Raw genomic sequence first — 22,769 nt, 5'->3', positions numbered from 1 at the left:
ACCCTGAAGCCCAGGCAGGGTTTCCATGGTGAGAATTTCAACAGGTGACCCCACCTGCTGAACACAGTGTCTTACGTCGTCTCAGGATGAAGACTATGCTCCTCGGAGTATCCCGTAAGGCTTGCGTGATCTTAGGCCTCTTTCCTCTCTAGTCTCTCTGTGTGGTCTATTCTCAATTCACTACCTAGGCACACTGATTGTCTGTTTTCCGTTGCTAGAACTCTCCAAAGCTTAGCGGTGTAAACAATGTGTTTTGTTTTGTTTTTGCAATGGAGTTTCGTTCTTGTCGCCCAAGCTAGAGTGCAATGGCACAATCTCGGCTCACTGCAACCTCTGCCTCCCGGGTTCAAGCGATTCTCCTGCTTCAGCCTCCCGAGTAGCTGGGATTACAGGTGCATGCCACCACACCCAGCTAAATAATTTTTGTATTTTTAGTACAGATGGGGTTTCACCATGTCGCCTTGGCCTCCCAAAGTGCTGGGATTACAGGCGTGAGCCACTGCTTTTTTTTCGTGATGTGTGTGTTGTCTGGGCCTGGCTGGGCAGTTTTGCTCCTTGTGGTGTCTGCTGGGGCTGGGACTTCCAAATGGCTCCTTCGCTCACATATTTGTCACCTCAGCTGCAATGGCAGGAGCAGCTCTGGTGGCTAGGCATCGCTCCCACTCTGTGTCTCCAGCAGGGTAGCTGGACCTCTTTATATTCAGTTCTCCAAGAATGAGCTTTCCGGCGGGTCGGGGGTCGAGGGGGCGCAGGCGGGTCATGTCCTGACATGCAAGTGCTCATCCAACCTCTGGATGCATCAGGCTTGCTAATGTTCACCAGCCAAAGCAAATCACATGACCATCCCTGCTGGGGTGGAAGGGGCCTGCATCGGGCATATGTAGGGAGGGTTGGTTGACCGGGGGTCACCCGAGATAACTGAGTACCACACTGACCTTTTCAGTCTTTCCTGCTTATCACCAGTCCTTTTGGTTTCAGGCTATTGCACATGTTGTGCCCTTTACACAAAATGGTCTTCTTTCTTCTCTTTATCTAGATAACTCTCTCTCCCTTCACATCTCAGTTCATGTGTCTTCTTTATTTATTTTTGAGACAGAGTCTTGCTCTGTCACCCGGCAATTATAGATCACTGCAGCTTTGAACAACTGGGCTCAAATGATCCTCCTGCCTCAGCCCTCTAAGTAGCTGGGACTACAAGCACCTGCCACCACACCTGGCCAATTTATTTTTAAATTTTTATAGAGGTGAGGTCTTGTTATGTTGCCTGGGCTGGTCATGAGCCACTGCACCTGGCCCATATTGTCTTTTTTTTTTTTTTTGAGACGGCGTCTGTCTCTGTCCCCCAGGCTGGAGTGCAGTGGTGTGATCTCGGCTCACTGCAACCTCCATCTCCTGGGTTCAAGTGATTCTCCTGCCTCAGCCTCCCAGGTAACTGGAATTACAGGTGCCCACCACCATGCCCAGCTAATTTTTGTATTTTTAGTAGAGACATGGTTTTACCATATTGGCCAGGCTGATATCGAACTCCTGACATTGTGATCCACCTGCCTCGGCCTCCCAAAGTGCTGGGATTACAGGCATGGGCCACAGCGCCCAGGCCCATATTGTCATTCTTAAAGGAAGTTACCTCCCCAAGTATTTAGATCCCCTTATTTTAGGTTTTCATAGCACATAAATAGTACTGCTTACAGTTAGGATTTTAATCTGATTTGATTTTTATCTTCTCCAGTAGATTTTTAAGTTACAGGAACTTGTTTCTATAGTAACTGTCATGTAGAAGACATTCAGTAACTGTTAATTAAATAAAGGAATTAAATAATAATAAATGATTTGCCTCTTGGATTGGTTTCCAAACTGGTCTTCCTGCTTATATGCTCTTTTCTTTCCAATCTGTCTGGCATTTATCAGTTTATTATCACTAAAATAATGTATTATTCCAAAACCACTATGATTATGAAATAATAATAGTTTCAGATTCCAGTTGAACAGTCTTTTTCAACTGGAATCAGAGGTTTCCAGATTCCAGTTGAACAGTCTTCTTAAAAAATTTTCCCTAAGATAGCTGATTAAGTCTTCTATAGGTTTTTCGCTATAGCTTTTTAAAGCCTCTACAGTATGATTCCATTTAACTTTTGAGCCTTATCTCCATCACTCTCTGCCAAACTGGCTTTGTCTCCTCTTGCTGCCTTTCCCTTAAGTTTGCCTCTGTGTCTTTGTTCTTGTTCACTTATCTGTTCTCTAACCTTCCTGCTCCTTCTCCAGGCCAGTCCTTCCCATCCTGAAGGCCTCACCTCTCCTGAAGTGAGCATGCCCTTGGCTCTGCCACAGATAATCAACCCTTGGTATCCATGGGGGATTGATTCCAGGCCCCCTACGGATGCCAAAACCTGAGGATGCTCAAGTCTTTTGTTTAGAATGGCATAGTAGTTGCACATAACTGATGTGTATCCTCCCATATACTTTAATAATCTTAGATTACTTATAATGTCTAGTACAATGTACATGCTATGTAAATCGCTGTTATACAGTTTTAAACTTTGTATTACTTTTTAATTGCATTATGTTTTAAAAATTTTTTGTTAAATATTTTTCATCCACGGTTGGTTGAACTCATAGATGCAGAACTCGTGCATACAGAGGGCACACTGTACTTTATTTTATGTTTTTTTTTGAGACAGGGTCTTGCTCTGTTGCCCATGCTGGAGTGCAGTGGCACGATCTCAGCTAACTGCAAACTCTGCCCTGGGTTCAGGCAATTCTTCTACCTCAGCCTCCCCAGTAGCTGGGACTACAGGTGTGCGCTACCATGCCCAGCGAATTTTTGTATTTTTTGGTAGACATGGTTTCACCATGTTGGCCAAGCTGATCTCAAACCCCTGGCCTGAAATGATCCACCCGCCTCAGCCTCCCAAAGTGTTGGGATTATAGGCGTGAGCCACTGTGCCCCGCTGTACTTAGAGTTGAGTTATTCAGTACTTTATGTGACCTGCTGATTTTTGTGTGCACTGGCATTTGGCTCTAGGAAATATTTCCTTTGCTTTCAGTCCTGTGCCTGTTGCCGCAGCCCCCTTCCCACCCAGACCCCGGGCTGTTCCAGGGAAGAGGCTGCCTCCTGTCCTGGGCCCTCATAGAGTCCAGCACGGCGCTTTCACGTGCATGTTTCACAGTAAGCTTTGAATCAATATTTGTTTATCTGATTATTTTTTCAGGGTGAAGAAAATCTTAAAACAAGCATTTGTACGTTTTTAGCAGTTTTATCACATTTAGACATTATTACTCAAAATATTCCAGAAAAGGTAAGTTTGTTTGTAAGAATTTAAACTTGACTGTAAAAAAAGAATTGTATGTATTTGTACCAATTTTTTATATGTAGAGCATTCCTGTGAATGTTTGCAATTTTTCCCTTTCCTTTCCACTGCCCTGCTAATGTGCACATGTATTAGACACAAATACCCAGTAAATGGGAATTACCCATTTACATGCATACACACTGAGGTGTGCTTGAGTACATACCAAATTTATAGACAAACTACTGGGTAAGTTTTTGTTGATACTTGTATAAAATTAATAATTATTTATAATTCTTAGGATTAGGATTACTTAGGATTCTTTAAACAGGACTTCCCTTACCTTCTTTGACTGAATGGTAGTTATTTAACAAATGCTCGTGCAAAGAAACTTATGGCCAGACTATTAAAAGCTGTTGGGTAATTGAAGGTGATATAAAATGACTGTCATCATTTGGAGTGTGCAGTACAGTTACTTCATGTTCCTCAGGTTTAGAACAATTTCCCCTGTAAGTTCTCACACAGATAGGCAGAAATCATAACTAATTTTGGTTAATCACTATGGCAGCCGTTGAAGAATTTAAGAGAACCTGCCAGTAAGATTTGGAATAAGATTCTATATTATTGCATCCACAGAAAAGAATGTACTGATATACTATAAACTCTAGGAGAAAACTTAATTGAAATAGTGTTATTAAGTGTTGAAAGTACCATAAAAATATAAGGGAAAATAAGCTTTCCTAGAATTTTTCAGTGTTCTAGTTTTTAAACAGTGATGTTTTTTATTAACCTATTTCATCCATTCAAAGACAGGCCTTTCTCCACACCACATTTTCCTCTAAAATCATGATAACACTTTTAAATTGATGGTGTCTTCCAGTGTGTATCAGCCAGATGGCAGTGTGTTACAGTTCCAGGAAAACTCGTTCACATCTTCCGTAAGATCAAGAAGGCTCTGGCATCAGATAAGATCAAATGTTGTCTTTCTGTTTTAAATATGTGCCGCAAAGAGATTTGCTTACAATCTATTGAGAAAGCTAAAACAGAGCAGACATTGTCCTGTTGCGGGGTAGATGAATAGCCTAAGAATAGTTTAGACAAATTCTGAAAACGAATTTACCTTAGAAGATGTTCATGTTAGATCTGGTAAAAGTAACATGTTATTTTTCTGTCAAGCCCTTTTTGTACTTGCCGTTTATTACATATTTTAGATTTATTTTTTATTTTCGAAACATCCAAAAAGGAATGCTAATTAGTGAAATGGAAGAATTTCCATTTCAACACCTTAGGAAAAAAAAAACTGACTTGACATACCTAAGAAAAGGCCAAGTTGATTTACTTTGTCAGTCTCTTCATTTGTGATACGTAAAGTCCGTTGTTACCTAGATAAATGTAGGTTTGATTTCTTGGAAGCAATCACTTAAGACTTTCCATTTTCTTCAAAGCATCTTACTTAACCTGCATGTGGGATCTGTACTGAGCAATTAGAGATTCAAAACAACTGTCACACACGACAGAGGTGGTAACCGCCCAACAGGTTCACCTCTTCCGCCGCCTACACAGAGCCGATTTATCAAGACAGGAATTGCAATAGAGGAAGAGTACACAGAGCTGCTTGTGCAGGAGACTGGAGTCTTATTAGTACTCAAATCGATCTCCCTGAGCATTCGGGGATCAGAGTTTTTAAGGATAATTTGGTGGGAGGGGGAAGGCCAGTGAGTCAAGGGTGTTGATTGGTTGGGTCGGAGATGAAATCATAAGGAATTGAGGTGTCCTTTTGTGCTAAGTCAGTTCCAGGGTGGGGGCCACGAGATCAGATGAGCCAGTTAATCGATCTGGGTGGTGCCAGCTGATCCGTCGAGTGCAGGTCTGCAAAATATCTCGAGCACCGACATAGGAGCAGTTTAGGGAGGGTCAGAATCTTGTAGCTTCCAGCTACATGACTCCTGAACCATAATTTCTAATCTTGAGGCTAATTTGTTAGTCCTACAAAGGAAATCTAGTCCCCAGACAAGAAGGGGGTTTGTCTTGGGAAAGGGCTGTTATCATCTTTGTTTTAAACTATAAACTAAACTAAGTTTCTCCCAAAGTTAGTTGAGCCTACACCCAGGAATGAACAAGGACAGCTTGGAGGTTAGAAGCAAGATGGAGTTGGTTAGGTCAGATCTCTTTCCCCACCTCAGTTACAATTTTGCAAAGGCGGTTTCAGAATCAGAGCACGAAGTGTTCCTATAAAAGGAAAAAAAAAAAAAACCTTTCTTAATTATGCTCATAGTTGTGTATTGTCCTGTCAGCTTGCTCATTGTGTAAAATGAGCGGACATGAGAATTCACGAGCAGAGCTTTTTACACTGATATGTATGAAAGCATCATTTACGTCCTGAAAGCCCCAGCCGAGCGATCACTGGCAGTGCCAACATTTTTGAGTGTGGGCTCCATAGGAAGCACTGTTTTCCCTATTGAGAATTATAGTGGGTTTTTTTCATTTACGAGTAATGTATACCTAGCTCCAAGATCTTGGTTGCTAACACCATTCTCCAATAAAACGAACCAGGGATCGCTGGAGAAATAGCTGATTCTAAAACTAGGGCAGAAAGTATACAAGATGAGCCTGGAGCATCTTGTAGAGTCAGAGAGCAAGGCAGAACTTTATACATACAGTGATGTGAGATGGGCATGCAGAGGGAAGATGTTCCCAGTGGCTGAAGCTGAAACAGTGTGAGCAACAAAATAAAGCAGTGTTGGATCACAACCCAAAGAATAAAATAAATATCCTCGAGCCCACACCGATATAAATAAATGATTGAATCAATAAATGAGTCCAGGCACTGTGGCTCATGCCTGTAATCCTGCACTTTGGGAGGCCAAGGCGGGTGGATCACTTGAGGTCAGGAGTTCGAGACCAGCCTGGCCAACATGGTGAAACCCCGTCTCTACTAAAAATACAAAAATTAGCCAGGCATGGTGGTACATGCCTATAATCCCAGCTACTCAGGAGGTGAGGCAGGAGAATCACTTGAACCCGGGAGGCAGAAATTGCAATGAGCCAAGATTGCAGGACTGCACTCCAGCCTAGGCGACAGAGTGAGACTCCATCTCAAAAAAAAAAAAAAGGATGGACAAGACAAATCTCTTGTAAAAAAAATTACAAGTAATTTTTATAGAAGCTCTGCCCTGAGGGAGGGGGAGCGTGACTTCTCACTCCTTCAGTGTGGGCTGCACAAGTGACTTCCTTCCATATGGGATCGTTATAACAAAAGACTGTAACAAGGGCTATGGGAGTTATAAGACAGGAATTGTGGACAAAAACCAGTGTATATCATAACATCACACCTTGTAATGTTGGCAGTACAGTCACTGACCTTTGATAAATGTTGATGACATGTTGAGTAAAGGAATGAGAGAAAGAGGATTGTTTATCTCTGTTTTTATCCTTCTCAGAGAAACTTAGAGTAACAAGTGTGTTATCAGCCATGCTGATGCCTTTGGTAAACTATTGTGTGAATATGGTTGTTTTGAATTGGTCAGTAGAAACTGGGCTGCCAGGCGCAGCCGGTAAGCATTTCCATGTGAGCCTTAGGGGAGAAGTGCATTTGGTAGGAGCATCAAAATAGCTTCTGATATTTCATTAAAAGTTTGGGTCCGTCTGGTTCCTTCATTAGTATATGTCACTTCCTTTGACCTTCAGTGTCTGTTGAACCATGTGATTTTAGAAAGCAAGGGATTGCTTGACATCTCCAGGCTGTGAAGACTAAAGTTCACAGGAAAAGACTACAAGGAAATTTAAACAGTTTTATTATTTTCCCCCTCATTTCTTAATTTTCCTGCCACTACTCAGTACTGTGTGGGTCCAGGATCACCATTAGGGAAGACAGAGTAGCTCAGAAATCAGTAGTGAGGAGGAGGACAGCACTTTGTGTGGTATCTTGCTCTAGGAGCATTTTCAAGCCATCAGAAGTGGGACTCTTGAAGACTATTTCTGACTTTCTCAGCACAAATTAAGATAATAGGAGATGGAGGCTCCATTTGAAAAACATTTTGGTTGTATAATGGTTAGCATAAAACATACTTTTTTCAAGTTAACTCAGGTACTAGAGTATGGGGGGCGGGGGGAAATGTACTGCAGCATTAATGAAAACTAGAGCTGGGAGAATGTGTTTTTCCTTGAGTAAATTGCAAATGCCTGTGCACCGCATTTGACCAGGAGGGAAGAATGAGAGGCCCTGGTAGCAAAGCCAGTGGAAGAAGTTTTACTAGGAGCAGTTGTATCATTCGTGTACTTTTTTTGTGTCATACAAGTGAGAGTAAAATGGTCCATGTCTGTGTTTTGAGGAATTTTTTGCCTTTCTTTTCAGAAACTAATTCTGAAGCAAGCCCTTATAGTTGTGCTGCAGTGGTGTTTCAATCACAATTTTAGTGTTCGACTGTATGCTTTAGTTGCTCTTAAGAAACTCTGGACTGTGTGTAAAGTGTTAAGTGTTGAAGAATTTGATGCCCTGACTCCTGTGATTGAATCCAGCCTCCATCAAGTGGAAAGCATGCACGGAGCAGGGTAAGGAGCCCTCGTCAACCTCATCGCCCTCACTCTCCTCCAGCAGGGCCCACAGGGAGGGGGCAGTGCCCATACTGTGTCAGCTTCTCCTTCCACATCCTCATGCTGCCGTCCTGGAGCATCGAGGGCTTGGACTGGGCCAGGCCTAAGCAGCTCACTTTGGGGTGTAGTTAATTACAGTTCATTGTCAGCTCCACCTTGACCTCTTATTGCCCTTTTATCCTCAATCCTTTATTGTACAAATAATCTTCTACATACTTGTACCTGTTTCTCTTCAGTATAGCTAAATGTCATCCTTTGTTGTTTGAGAACTGCTTAGAAGTGGCACGACCTGACTTTAAAGACATACTTTTAATCTCTCAGCTATACTAGTTATAGCTAAAGGCTTTTTTCTTTTCTAAGAGAACTCTCCTATTCCGCAGACAAAATCATACATGGAAGCTCAGTATCAAGCAAGTGACGTGGATGGGGTGAGGGAGCGGTGCAGGACCCAGTGTCTGTGAAGCCCCCACGGTGGTTCCCATGTCTGCCTCTCTTTCCCCGCACCTGTCACGGTGCAGAAGCAGGCTGCAGTGTCATAAGCATCTCCAGGTCTCTGCGCTTGTTTCCTTATCTCTGAGGTGGTGCTGTTTTGCCTTTTTATTATTATCATAGATTATTGCCATCCAGGAATTCTGGATTTTTTTTTTAAATTTTAGAGACACAGGCAATATCAACCAACATAAAAGATTTTTCATCTTAAAAGCTGAAAAAGCACCCACTAATTTATATACACAAATGGTTAAGTGTTGGAAGCAGCATAATAGGCAAATGAAATAGCATTTGGAAAACCAGTAACATGTAGAAGTCTTGGTCGTGACCATTAAGTTATTTGTACATGGTACAAATAAGACTGAGTCATTGTGTAGCTTCATATGGGGCTGGGGCGAGGGTACCTCCCTGGCCCGCAATGTACCTTTCTACCTCCCTTCACTTTTGATGCATTTGTTGAAAAGAGGCATTTGGGCATTAAGTGGGTAAGGGAGGTTTTAGGGGCTTGGGAGAAAGATATTTGATAAATACAAATAAATACTAAAATGGAGAAAAAAGTAAATAGCATGAAATAAAACAGGGGAGTAGCAGGAGAAAAAGAGAGTTAGCTGTGGGGAGATGGGTTCCAGAGGAGGGACAGAGAGCAGAGGCGGGAATGGATTCCTGGTACATCGTGCACAGTTCTGTATACTGGAGAATGACCTTCCTGTGCCTGGCCCAGCAAAGGCTGGTCATCAAAATTAGTCATTCACTGTAGCATTGCCAGGGACCCCTACAATTCCAACTGTCCTCTGAAAACTAAAAATCTTGATCTTTTCAAGGGACCTTAAATGTCTTATTTCTCCTTGGTGTATGGTGTATTTCCTATTATTTGGTGAATACATGGCTGAGTTTACATGTGTAGATTTGAACATTAATATTTCTCAGGATCGCATTTGCATTATCATGCAGTAATCCAAACTCAAGCTACCAAAGTTGCTGCTAATCATATTTTATTATGTAATTTAATGAACTTACGTGCTGTTTGTGTTTGATGGTTAGAGATAGGTAACCAGGGGACAGAGGGTATAGTTACCCCATAGACTTTCAGCCCTTCCTTAATGGAAGGGAGTTTGAGGGAATTGCCATAATTTAACACGCAGATAGGCATTTGTCAGCTTGTAGCTGTCTCTGTGATTCGATGGTGAGTGATTATTTGGTATTGAGACATTTCGATCCTGGTTGTTGATCCTATTCTAAATTTGTTGGTAGCTGTGTTTTGATTTCTAAAAGCAATTGGCTCCAGTCATATTTTTTATTAAGCAATAAAACGCACTTTTAAAAAATAACTTTAAAAATCTCAGTACCAGGTAGGAGATAAATAGCCAATCAAAATAAGGCATCCGGCTGGGTGCAGTGGCTCATGCCTATAATCCCAGCACTTTGGGAGGCCAAGGTAGGTGGATCGCCTGAGGTCAGGAGTTCGAGACCAGCCTGACCAACATGGTGAAACCCTGTCTGTCTCTACTAAAAATACAAAAATTAGCTGGGTGTGGTGGCAGGCGCCTGTAATCTCAGCTACTCGGGAGGCTGAGGCAGGAGAATCTCTTGAACCCGGGAGGTGGAGGTTGCAGTGAGCCAAGATTGCGCCACTGCACTCCAGCCTCGGCAACAGAGCAAGACTCTGTCTCAAAAATAAATAAACAAATAAATAAGGCACCCTGGGCATTAAGCCACCTCTGTTCTGTGATTGCATACCTCCTTGGGATCGGCTTGTGACAGGCACAAGGCCAGGTGCTGGGGCTTAGCCAGGTAGATGAGCCTCTTTCTTCATGTGACTCACAGTCAAATGGGAATAGACATCAAGTAATCAGAGCAATTTTTTAAAGTTTTAAAATAAATCACAGAAAAGTAAATGTGATGAGGAAAGTTTTAAAATAAATCACAGAAAAGTAAATGTGGTGATGAGGAAATACAGACTGTTCAGTCTGGGTGGTTTAGGGAAAGCCTTTCTAAGTAACATGATGTTTACATTAAAATCTAAAGCATGAATAGGAGCTAGGTCAATGAAGACTGAAGGAAAGAGATTTCTGTGCAGAAGACACTGTGTTTGGGAACGGCCAGCCCCACTTGATTTGCCCAGAGCTTTAACTAAAGCAAGCTTGGTCTGGCTGAGGGAAGCAACAGAGCAGTCCCAAGATGGAGGGAGCCAGGGCCAGGCTTGGGTTGATGTTGAGTGAATGGGGAAGCCAGCAAAAAGTTAAACTTGAGAATGACGTCATCCAGTTTTCTTTTGCATTAAAGTGTGAAGAGCAGATCGGAGGTGAGCAAGAGAGAGTGGGAGGAAAATTGTGATTTAGATTAGTATGAGATTAGTAGAGGGACAGAGAAATGGACAGGCTTTGAGGTAAGGTAAACAAGGGCCTAAAGTACTGACTGGATTTATCAAGAGCCATTCGATAGCATAATTAGGGGATTGAAACCAAATTAAAATAGGTACAAGAGGGGGCCAGCTGCAGTGGCTCTCGCCTGTAATCCCAGCACTTTGCGAGGCCGAGGTGAGTGGATTGCTTGAGCCCAGGAGTTCAAGATCAGCCTGGGCAACATGGCAAAACCCCGTTCTCTATAAAAATAATAATAATAAAAAAAAGTTAGCGGGGTATGGTGGCATGCACCTGTAGTCCCAGCACCTCGGGAGGCTGAGGTGAGAGAATCACCTGAGCCCAAGAAGTTGAGGCTGCAGTGAGCGGAGATTGCACCACTGCACTCCAGCCTGGCAACCGAGTGAGACCCTGTCTCAAAAAAAAAACAAACAAACAAAGTCCAAATGTGGATAGGATGATACATTAACATATATTACATCAGAGTGGTAGGTTTACTGGTGTCTATAATTTTCTTTACCTGAATATTCGGAATATTTAAAATATTTCATGTCTTTAACTTTTCAAAAAATGGGTGATGAAGGTGAGACAGAGTCAACTTATTTAGAAAATTCTCTCAAAAAATAGTATATTAGAAAGTTCAACAGCTAGTGGTGGGGGTGCTGTCAAAAGAGGGCTTCTGTTTCATTTTTGGTAACATTAGTTGTTTTTAAGTGATACTCATAGTCAGGAAGTTGAACAGTGCAGAAAGGCATCGAATGAAAACGAGACAGTCTCCTTCCTTCTCCCACCAAAGGTGAAACTCCAGTAAACTTGCTTTTCTTTTAACAGCTACCTAATATTCCATTTGCCTTAGGATATCGCTTGAGTCCATTACTGATGGACACTTTAATAAGGTTTTGTTTTGTTTTTTAAGACTAGATACAAAAGCCCTTTTGAAAAGGCTGAAGGAAAGGCTAGAATAGAGAAGAGGGGAGATGCGGAAGTTGGGGGAGATAGGGCAAAACCCAGGGGAATGGGATCTGTTGCGGGGCAGGGTATTGCCCTTTGAAGAGAGACTCTTGACAGTGAAGGAGAAAAGAGGACAGGTGGGTAAGGAGGTGGCAGGAAGAAGAAAGATCTCTCACTCCTGTCTCCTGTGATGTGTGAGGCATGGCTGTCTGCTGATAGTGAGAGGGTTGGGGAGGGCATAGGAACTCCAGGGAGTGAAGAAGACACACTGGTCAGGGCAGGAGCGTGATCTTGCCAGAAAAATGTCTTGAAATTGCTGCTTAGTTTATGGGTTGATGATCATGAATTTTATCTGAAACCTGCCTGCCATATTGTATAACTTTTATCCCTACCTTTTTTGCCTTTTAAAACATAAACTTGACAACAGATGTTTTAAAAATTTAAACGCTGCTCATAGTAAATTTGTTTGGTTTGTGAAAGTAGGTACAACTTGGCTGCATGGTATGAGTCTTTGGAGTAGAAAAGGTGACTTTTATGTAATGGTTTTCTCTCCTGGAAAAAAGAGTTTTCTGCCAGACATAGGTTTAAGGTTCCATTTCAAAATGTGAAATTTATTAAGTGTCAGTTTTTAAAGTATGTATTGATCTTGGAGAGGTGTGTATAAATCTTAGGATAAAGTTCATAAAATTTTCTGTTCCTTCTCAACTCTGCAGCCACCCTTTAAGATACTGAATTGATTCTCCCCTCACCAGAGTTGTTTCATTTGTCTGTGGCTCATACCATATTTTTAATCCTTAGGAATGCCAAGAAGAATTGGCAACGCATTCAGGAGCATTTCTTTTTTGCAACATTTCACCCACTCAAGGATTATTGTCTAGAGGTGAGTAGAGAATATCATTTGTAAATTCTCTATTGTATCTTTAATCCTGATGCTTCCTTTCTGCTTTTGTTGAAGGGTTGTGATTAGGGTAAAGTTTTTTTCTTGCTTACAAACATCACCTTAACATTTTAAAGTTCTAAGTTTAACTTTGTCACTTTATGCAGATGACTTGCTTTCATTTCACTCTTAAGCAGTGAAAATTGGCTAGTCATTTTCACTTTCTATTTCTCAGGCAGTGTCTGGCTTGTAAACAATGGAAGGGAATATTTAACTCTAAACAGAAATCTGTTCTGACATTAAAAGGAAATGAGTGAGAACATTTGTGCAGGTGAGATTTCATTGTACTGAAGCCCATTGTTAATGAAAGAACAAAAAGATATACTTTTTTGTTAATGGCAATTTTTAGGTTCTGGGTAATGAGAATTGTATAGGAGATGATACATCACCTCACTGACTGTAACAAAATGTGCTTATATAATTTTAAGAACCATAAACATGCTTATTATGATTAACATGTAAATTAATTCAATATGTAAATCATTAGACATTGCATAAATTATGATACCTTCTCCCTTTTTCAACTGTAATTATAATGTGCTGCCCTTGAATTTAAATCACTGACCTAGGGCTTTTCCTCTGAAGAACTTATAAGTTATTGGTAACTTAAGCTGCTGTGCATAAGCAATTTTTTTGGTGGATTACTAAGATTATTGATAAACTGATCTGTAAAAAAGTATAGATCTATATATTGCAAGATATGCATCCTAGAACACTAATGTGTATTTTCTGCTGCTTCACTGCAAATATCATTTAGGATTTTTCAAAGATTTTAATATGCTCTGCTCTGTGTTCTTTAGCGCCCAGAATGCTTTGTCCGGCATCTTTCTGCAGGACTCCTCTAGTCACTCTAGTGTTAAGTCAACCTTTTTCTATTCAGTCTTCCAACAGGAGTAAGTCCTTTGCCTCCCTCCTGCCCTCCCTCATCCTTACCTTTGACCACCTCACTCTCATATGTTTTATGATTTATTCTCCAGTCATGAAATGAATTAAAGGTGTATGTGTAAATAAAATAATGGGGCTTAATTGTTCATAGGAACTGTATCTCTTCATGTATTTGTTTTTTTTTTGTTTTTATTTTATTATTATTATACTTTAAGTTTTAGGTTACATGTGCACAATGTGCAGGTTAGTTACATATGTATAAATGTGCCATGGTCGTGTGCTGCACCCACCAACTCGTCATCTAGCATTAGGTATATCTCCTAAAGCTATCCCTCCCCCCCTCCCCCCACCCCACAACAGTCCCCAGAGTGTAATGTTCCCCTTCCTGTGTCCGTGTGTTCTCATTGTTCAGTTTCCACCTATGAGTGAGAATATGCGGTGTTTGGTTTTTCGTTCTTGCGATAGTTTACTGAGAATGATGATTTCCAATTTCATCCATGTCCCTACAAAGGACATGAACTCATCATTTTTTATGGCCTCATAGTATTCCATGGTGTATATGTGCCACATTTTCTTAATCCAGTCTATCATTGTTGGACATTTGGGTTGGTTCCAAGTCTTTGCTATTGTGAATAGTGCCGCAATAAACATACGTGTGCATGTGTCTTTATAGCAGCATGATTTATAGTCCTTGTGTATATACCCAGTAATGGGATGGCTGGGTCAAATGGTATTTCTAGTTCTAGATCCCTGAGGAATCGCCACACTGACTTCCACAATGGTTGAACTAGTTTAGTCTTCATGTATTTGGAGCTGTACTTGGTGCCCCCTACTTGGTTCCCCCTTAATCAACATGTAGTCGTGATCATTGTGCCAGTTTAAGTTTGCACAGATATAGCTAGTGTGAAGAAAACCATATTCATTCTAAAACCTTTCATGAAGACATGTGCATTGCTGCTAAGAGTATTGTTTCGTTTTTAAGTTGCCTGTTACTTGGACCTCTGCTTCCTATGTACTTGTTTCACTGTTGGTCATTTTTATGGTGCAGTTCTTTTAGTAGGTAAGAAAAGCAAAGGAGGATTGCTTATGCGATGACTGTTTACAGTGGTGTCAGACTATGCCGTGTTCACGAACACTTTAATATGTTGTTGTAATCTGATTTTATCCTCGTCTTACAAATGAGGAAGTTGAAGCCAAGAAAGGCTGAATCACTTGCCTAACGTCACATAACTAATTATATTAGTCAAACCAGAATTCAGATTCTAAATTTATCTAATGGGTACGAGAGTAAAAGACTTGTCATGAAAAGAGCTTGAACTTGATTGCCTTTGGAGGTATTTAGTTGTCAGTAAATTGCACTTATCCAAATACTGTCCATCATTAGAACTGATTACTTCTGAAACACTGTTTTTATTAGGCACATACTGGTTTATTACACACAGTTAGAAGTACCAGAGTACAAGTTCTGCCTCCTCTCAGGGGTTTCCTAAATTAATCCCCTAATTTCTGAGAAGATGAGAAATATATATAGACAGTTGCTATAAGATATAAATGAAAGTATATAGTTTGATCAGATGTAATAGTTTGGAGAATATATCATTAATAATTAAGTTGTATTTTAAATGTTATATATTTCTTTGTTATTCTTAAGGGAAGAAATTTAGATTTTATAATTCTCTTTTCAGACCATATTTTACATCCTTCCACGCCTTTCAGGCCTTATTGAAGATGAATGGATCACCATTGATAAATTTACCAGATTCACTGATGTTCCTTTAGCTGCGGGATTTCAGTGGTACCTTTCTCAAACTCAACTTAGTAAACTAAAACCAGGTGACTGGTCTCAGCAAGACATAGGTAAAAAATAATTTTCATTTTATTTTTTCCCCTTGTTGATCTGGTTAGATTTTTTTGATTTAAGTTACTAAGGACAGGTAGTTAATAATAATATCACTTTCATTGACATGGTGACCTCTGCCTTTCCACTTAGGGAAAAGACAGTGAAAAAGTGTGGTATAACTTTGACTAACACTTTTAGTGAAACTTAGCTTTAAAGCTATTTAAAAAAAAAAAAAAAGCCAAAGGAAGCCTGATCTGCTTTATATAAAGCTGATGGCCAGTGGCCTCCCTTTTAAGTAGTATTGTTCGTTAACACTCATTGCTTTTCTACTATATATTTCTGTAAAAATAAACATTTCCAAAAGGACCAAATGATGAAATCTCTTTTTTTGTCCTTCATAGGAATAAAGCAGAGCTCTTGATTCTAGTCCCCTCTTGGTTGGTTGGACGCCGCTTCATGTTATCCCTTCTCCTCTGTCTCATCCTTCCCTGTACAATGACTCCTTTCCACCAGCTTCCTCTGGGACCCACATTCCTCTCCTCCCCCTCCTCCCCCTCCCCTCCCTCCTCCCCTCCCCCTCCCTCCCCCTCTTCCCCCGCCTCCTCCCCCTCCTCCCCCGCCTCCTCCCCCTCCTCCCCCTCTTCCCCCTCCCCCCTCTTCTCCCTCCTCCCTCTCTTCCCCCTCTTCCCCCTCTCCCCCTCCCCCTCTTCCCTCACCTCCTCCCCTCTTCCCCCCTCCTCCCCTCTTCCCCCTCCCCCTCCCCTCTTCCCCCACCTCCTCCCCTCTTCCCCCACCTCCTCCCCTCTTCCTCCTCCTCCCCATCCCCATCCCCCTTCCCCCCTCCCTCTTTCCCCTCCTCCCCATCCCCATCCTTCCCCATCCCCCTTCCCCCTCCCCCTTCCCCCCTCCCCCTCTTCCCCATCCTCCCTCCTTCCCCTCCCCCATCTTCCCCCTCCTCCCCCCTCTTCCCCCTCCTCCCCCCTCTTCCCCCTCCTCCCCATCCCCGTCCTCCCCCTCCGCCTCCTCCCCCTCACCCCTCCTCCCCATCCTCCCCCTCCCCCTCCTCCCTCTCCTCCCACTCCCCTTTCTCCCCTTCCCCCTCCTCTGCCTCCCCTACTCCCTTCTCCCTTCCCTCCCTCTCCACTTTCCCATCCCCTCCCCCTTCCCCCCTCCTCCCCCTCCTCCTCCTCTTCCCCTTCACAGTCAAGCTGTCCTAAAAACCCAAGAATCAGGTTCCCTAACTCAATTTAAAAATGACCGTCTTAATGACTGTAGGCTATCTTCCTATCAGTCTGTCACTCACATTTTAGCCTCATTCTGACTCTCCCCAGCCGATTACCACCTTTGAAACTTCTTTCAGGAAATTAGAAATTTTCTTTCGGTTTCTTTTACACAGTCCGAGTGGAAAATGGACGCTGCCCTCAGATTGCACCTGCCCATTCTGTGCCACATGTTTGCCAGTCTCCGGCCATCCTGCCTTTCCTCCTTACTCTGACCCTTCTCATTCTGAGTCCCCCACATGCCCCTGACATCGGTGCTTCTCCAAACTTTCCATGTCTTCAGGACTCACATGTGACTTGTTGAAAATTCAGATTCCATGTCCCACCCTTAGATTTTTTTTTTCTTTTTTTTTAAAGGCCAATTATGGGTCTGGAACCACCCTTAGTTTAAATTCAGTATCTCTGGAGGAGAGTTCTGGGAAAATGCAATTTTTGTCAGGCCTCTGGATGGTTCACTAATGTGTTTTAAGACATACTATCCTAAATTTATTCATTCAACAAAGATTGATTGATTGTCTCCTGCGTGTTAGACATGAGACCGAGTCCCTGCCTCATAGAGCCCACATTCTTACAGAGGAGACAACAGGGAGCACGTACCTAACACAGTGTCTGGTAGTAGAAGTACCGTGAAAAAACAAAGCAGGGTGAAGAGAGGGACGGAGGGTGAGAAAGACCTTTCTAAGGAGTTGACATTGAGCAGAGACCCCAAGGAAGTATGGGCAAGGCAAGGCAAGGTCTGTCCCGGCGAGAGCTTTACTGGAAAAGGAAGAGCAACTGTGAAGATTCTAGAGCAAAGGACAGTGACAGGAGGCACTTCCCAGTGCGGTTGGGTAGAGCCTGGGAGGAGAGGGAAGAGAGATGGCATTGTAGGCAGCTGTCGAGTTCTGCGTAAAGCGGAGCAGGGAAATACAGTGTTACTGGAATGGCAGAATGGCTAACGAGGTCTGTCTGTTCTGCCTGTTTTTGGTAAAGAGGGGCATGTTGTAATAGACTTTCCATGCTGAGGCTTAAATGTTAGTATCCCCCTAATTTTTTTTCTTTTTTAAAGAAGTTTTACTTCATTTTTAATTGACAAATAATAATTGTACATATTTATGGGGTACAGTGTGGCGTTTTCATGCATATATACATTGTGTAATGGTCAAATCAGGATAATTAGCATATCTGTCACCTCTCACGTTTGTGATGAGAACATGGAAAATCCTCTCTTCTAGCTATTTGGAAGTATACATACATTATTGTTACCTATAGTCATCTTACTGTGTACTAGAACACAAGAGCTTATTCCTGACTGACTAACTTTGTACCTTCTGACCAACCTCTCCTCCTGCCACTGAAGGTTTTCACGGGCCCAGTCTTCTTCTCACTCTTCATCCTCTCCCAGAACACATTTATTAATGTCCCCAACTTGAAACCACCGCCTGTGTAACTATAACTTTCAAATCCTTATCTGCTGCCCAGCCTCTGTCCTGAACAGACTGGACATTAGCACCGGGATATTCCTTAAGCTCTTGAAATATCACCATATCCAAATTCAGTTTGCCTTTCTGCCCAAAAGTGCCTGCTCTGTATGCCCTATTAATGGTATTGGTCAATCATCGTGGAAGTCGTTCTTGTCCTGTTTTTGCTCTTGCCACATCCGTTACCCAGTCTTGGCGATTTCACTTCCCAAAGCTGCCTCCTCCTCCTCTTCTTTAGCCCCTCTTGCCTTGTCTTCATTTAGACTGGCATTGTTTTTACCTGGACTACTACAAAAGCCCCTTAATGGTTTTCTAGCCTCCACATAGCTATTAAAAGAGATTTTTCTAAAACACACAGCAGTACTGTTACTCTCCTTCTTAAAATTTTTTAATGGTTTTTAACTGTGGAATAATTTTTTTTTTTCTTTGAGACGGAGTCTCGCTCTGTCTCTCAGGCTGCAGGCTGGAGTGAAGTGGCACGATCTCAGCTCACTGCAACCTCTGCCTCACGGGTTCAAGCGATTCTCGTGCCTCAGCCTCCCTAGTAGCTGGGATTATAGGCGTCTACCACCATGCCTGGCTAATGTTTGTATTTTTAGTAGAGATGGGGTTTCGCTATGTTGGCCAGGCCGGCCTCAAACTCCTGACCTCAGGTGATCCTCCCGCCTTGGCCTCCTAAAGTGCTGGGATTATAGGCGTCCACCACCACACCTGGCTAATGTGTTATTTTTAGTAGAGTCGGGGTTTCACCATGTTGGCCAGGCTGGTCTCAAACTCCTGACCTCAGGTGATCCTCCCTCAGCCTCCCAAAGTTCTGGGATTACAGGCATGAGCCACCATGCCTGGCCAACAGAATAAATTCTTTATCATTGTATGCAAAGCCCTTTGGTTTGAGCCATCTCCCTCCACTCCATTGCAGGCTGTGCACTAAACCAAGGTACTTGCTGCTGTCTGAACCATGTTGCTTCTACATCCCATGCATGTGCACATGCTGTATCTACTGTCTGCTTTGCAAACTTTTACCTTCCTTCCCGCGAGCCTTCCGGGGTCTTACCCTTTGCTTCTCCCTCCCCTAGACATTAGTAACCCCTTTCTGTGTAAGCATTACCTTCACTGTTGTACTGTGTTACAGTTATTTGCATGTCTGTCCTATCCTAAGTGAACTAAGTGCCACTTGATTGCTCAGAAAGCAGTTTGGAGTAGGACAGAGTTGAGGAAGAGCCTGAGAGGTAGAGTCTCAGTCCTGTACTACAGAGATGAAAACACTGCAGTCAGATAGGCTAGTAACGTTCTGTGTCCTCATCACTTTTGTCAAGAGATAACTGCTTTATACAACATCCTTCATTTTAGAAAAGTTACTCCAGCACTTTTAAAATTATTTTAGATATTTTATTATATTGTTTTCAGAAATAGTCTTTCCATAGAAAATCCCAATCTAATATACTGCTGTTTGTAAGATACATCATTATTTTATGTACTTCCAAGGAAAAAAATGTTACCAAACTATGATACTCTGGATTCTAAGATGTGTCTCAATTTCAGATATGCTAAAACGTGAAAAAACGTGTATCTCATGTTTCCATGAAGTATCATAATATGTTGGTTAATAAAGCTGATTTTGAAAACTTAAAGTTACTACTACAAATGGGAATTGTGTCTGAATCCAACTAAAGTTTTTTACTTAATGCTTTGTTAAGTCTCATTCTAAATTATCTCATTCTAAATTATTTCACATTCTTAAAAATACATATACATGTATACATAAATATATAGAGATTCAGATTTATTTATATGTGGGATTGTTTTCTTTTTCCTTCCCAGGTACTAATTTGGTCGAAGCAGATAACCAAGCGGAGTGGACCGACGTTCAGAAGAAGATTATCCCGTGGAACAGTCGTGTTTCCGACTTAGACCTGGAGCTCCTGTTTCAGGATCGTGCTGCCAGACTTGGAAAGTCAATTAGTAGACTCATCGTTGTGGCCTCGCTCATCGACAAACCGACCAATTTAGGAGGTAAAGTTGGAGTTTTCTGGGAGCTTTGCCTGAAAGCTTTTGGTCTTCAACATTTTTTAATTAATCCACTGCCACGGGAGCTTCAAAGGAATGTATGCGACATGATGAGCTTAGCATTGTGCTGGGAACAATCTTAATGATCCCAGGTGTTCTGTGCAGGACTGTGCAGGACCTGTGAGGTATTTGGGGCTTCAGTGCTCGTTGTTGGCAGCCTTCAGTGTATCAGCGACAAACAGTTTCAGCACCTCAGTGTCTCTGCAGAACAGTGGCTTCCTCTAGTGGAGGTGGGTGGAAAGTAATTTATTATTAAAGTTCTTAAAACAAGCCCGCACATGTACCCGTGAACCTAAAATAAAAGTTTAAAAAAAAGTTTGTATTTGTAAAAATATTTTATAGTGCTCTATCTTTGTGTATTAGTCCTTTTGCATAATTTATAATAGTGCAGTCTTTAATCATTTAAGAACAGTGTTTAAAAATAACATACAGCTCACTTCTGTTTTTCTACTTATTTTTTTATAGGTCACAGTTTTAGAAATCATCAATAATGTAGAATTCTGTTCAGTAAAACATATCCTGTTACAGCCCACTCTTGATGTAGGAATAATTCTTAGAAATTTATATCATGGTGGCTGGGCGCGGTGGCTCACGCCTGTAATCCCAGCACTTTGGGAGGCCGAGGCGGGCGGATCACAAGCTCAGGAGATCGAGACCATCCTGGCTAACACAGTGAAACCCCATCTCTACTAAAAAATAAAAAATAAAAAAAAATTAGCCGGGCGTGGTGGTGGGCGCCTGTAGTCCCAGCTACTTGGGATGCTGAGGCAGGAGAATGGCGTGAACCCGGGAGGCGGAGCTTGCAGTGAGCCAAGATCGCGCCACTGCACTCCAGCCTGGGTGACACAGCAAGACTCCACCTCAAAAAAAAAAAAAAAGAAATTGATGTCATGTTGGGAGAGTTCTTTTTTATAATGTATAATTCTCTCCTTTTTCTTTTAAAGAGTTAAGTTTAGGTTAATACGTTTTTTAACTCTAATTTACTCCAAGCAGGGCTATAACTGAATGAATATTCTGTTCTTTTTAAACTAATATTCAGGTAAAACCACCTCAGCTAATTGATTATCTGCAGCAGAAGAAAACAGAAGGTTATACCATCATTGGAGTGGAACAAACTGCCAAAAGTTTAGACCTAACCCAATATTGCTTTCCTGAGAAATCTCTGCTCTTGTTGGGGTAAGAAGCTTCTTGTGTCCATAGTATATTCTCTGAGCCCCAGACTACTGGAAGATGTTACCTTGTTTTTTTTTGTTTTTGAGACGGAGTCTCACTCTGTAGCCCAGGCTGGAGTGTAGTGGCACAATCTCGGCTCACTACAACCTCTGCCTCATTGGCTCAAGCAATTTTCAGGCATCAGCTTCCCAAGTAGCTGGGATTACAGGCATGCTCCACGAGACCCAGGGTTTCACCATGTTGGCTAGGCTGGTCTCGAACTCCTGACCTCAAGTGATCCTCTGGCCTTGGCCTCCATGGTGGGATTACAGGCGTGAGCCACCGTGCCTGGCTAGAAGATGTTACTTTTCTGTTTTACAGTTTACCCTGACTCCTGCTCATACCTGCACTTTTCTTTGATTTGTAACATTTATAAGAAGCTCCCTGGGCTTTCCTTTTATTTCATCTCTCTGGCATGGCCAGCTGAACATGGAATTGACCCATCAGTCTTTTTTTTTACACTCTTATTTATTTCCCGGTACTACAGACTTAACTTCATTTGTTAATGTTTCTTTTAGTAACATTCAGAATATCAAAGAGAAAAATAAGTGAATAAACAAAAAATAAAAAGAATATCAAAGAGAAAAATTGTTTGTTACAGGAAAACTAATCTTTCTTCCATTTTCTTCCTCAGAAATGAACGTGAGGGAATTCCAGCAAATCTGATCCAACAGTTGGACGTTTGTGTGGAAATTCCTCAACAGGGCATTATCCGCTCCCTGAATGTCCATGTGAGTGGAGCCCTGCTGATCTGGGAGTACACCAGGCAGCAGCTGCTCTCGCACGGAGATACCAAGCCATGATGTGCCTTCCTTAGTGAACTGCTGCTGCTGTTCAGACTTTTTTAAAAAAAACTATTTGGACTAAAGAAACAGATTCTGAAATTTATTGTGATAATTTGTATTTCTTTTTTCTTGCAATTTAATGCCAAAAGTTTGCCATGTGCCTTAAACATATTACTATATATTTTCCCCTTTAATAAACACTTTTTGTTAAATTGTATTCTTCCTTTAATAAAATATTTTAAGCAATTGTGGAAATAAAACAATGGATTTTTTAAGAGAGAATTTATTTCCTAGAAACGCCTTTTGTCAGAAGTGTGGACTATGATAAAGCAGAGTTAAAGCAGCGATCATCTGTGAACACTCATACCCTTGAGTCATATGGAGACCAGGGAGGTTGAGGCAAAGGTTCCGAATGAAGAGGGGTCATCAGCCTCTGTGCCGCTTTCCGTCTCTGTACTCCCCTCGGGAACACATTTGGCAGGATGCAGAGCCAGCATCCCTGTGAGGCTCAGAATGCTCAGGTAGTAGGCTTTAATTTATTTTTAAAGCCATGAACTAGGCCATAATCATTCACAGTAAGTTTATGGCCAGGTGCTATGGCTCACGCCCCCCACACTTTGGGA

General features: G+C 41.9%; 1 protein-coding gene across 17 annotated transcripts in view; it reads left to right on the top strand.

Annotated features, from left to right (window-relative positions):
* TARBP1 (tRNA guanosine 2 -O-methyltransferase TARBP1) overlaps positions 1–22,428 on the top strand; it is an 87,867-nt gene extending 65,439 nt beyond the window's left edge. For 7 of the 17 annotated variants that reach the window (XM_047429060.1, XM_005273234.4, XM_011544263.3 and 4 more), the window contains 8 exons: positions 3,210–3,296; positions 7,642–7,838; positions 12,479–12,560; positions 15,188–15,359; positions 19,904–20,095; positions 20,255–20,379; positions 21,189–21,325; positions 21,996–22,428. In XM_047429060.1, coding sequence (XP_047285016.1) covers positions 3,210–3,296; positions 7,642–7,838; positions 12,479–12,560; positions 15,188–15,359; positions 19,904–20,095; positions 20,255–20,379; positions 21,189–21,325; positions 21,996–22,164 — 1,161 coding nt within the window. In that variant the 3' untranslated portion in view covers positions 22,165–22,428. Of the gene's footprint in view, positions 1–3,044; positions 3,162–3,209; positions 3,297–4,167; positions 6,045–7,641; positions 7,839–12,478; positions 12,561–12,792; positions 12,889–13,417; positions 13,673–15,187; positions 15,360–19,903; positions 20,096–20,254; positions 20,380–21,188; positions 21,326–21,995 lie in introns of those variants that run through there. The other 10 variants (XM_047429068.1, XM_047429072.1, XM_047429067.1 and 7 more) reach the window with 6 other exon arrangements.
* The last annotated feature ends 341 nt before the right edge of the window (positions 22,429–22,769 follow it).

Source organism: Homo sapiens, chromosome 1 (assembly GCF_000001405.40).
Source record: "Homo sapiens chromosome 1, GRCh38.p14 Primary Assembly".
Classification (NCBI taxonomy): Eukaryota; Metazoa; Chordata; class Mammalia; order Primates; family Hominidae; genus Homo; species Homo sapiens.
This window is presented reverse-complemented; position numbering and strand designations above follow the sequence as displayed.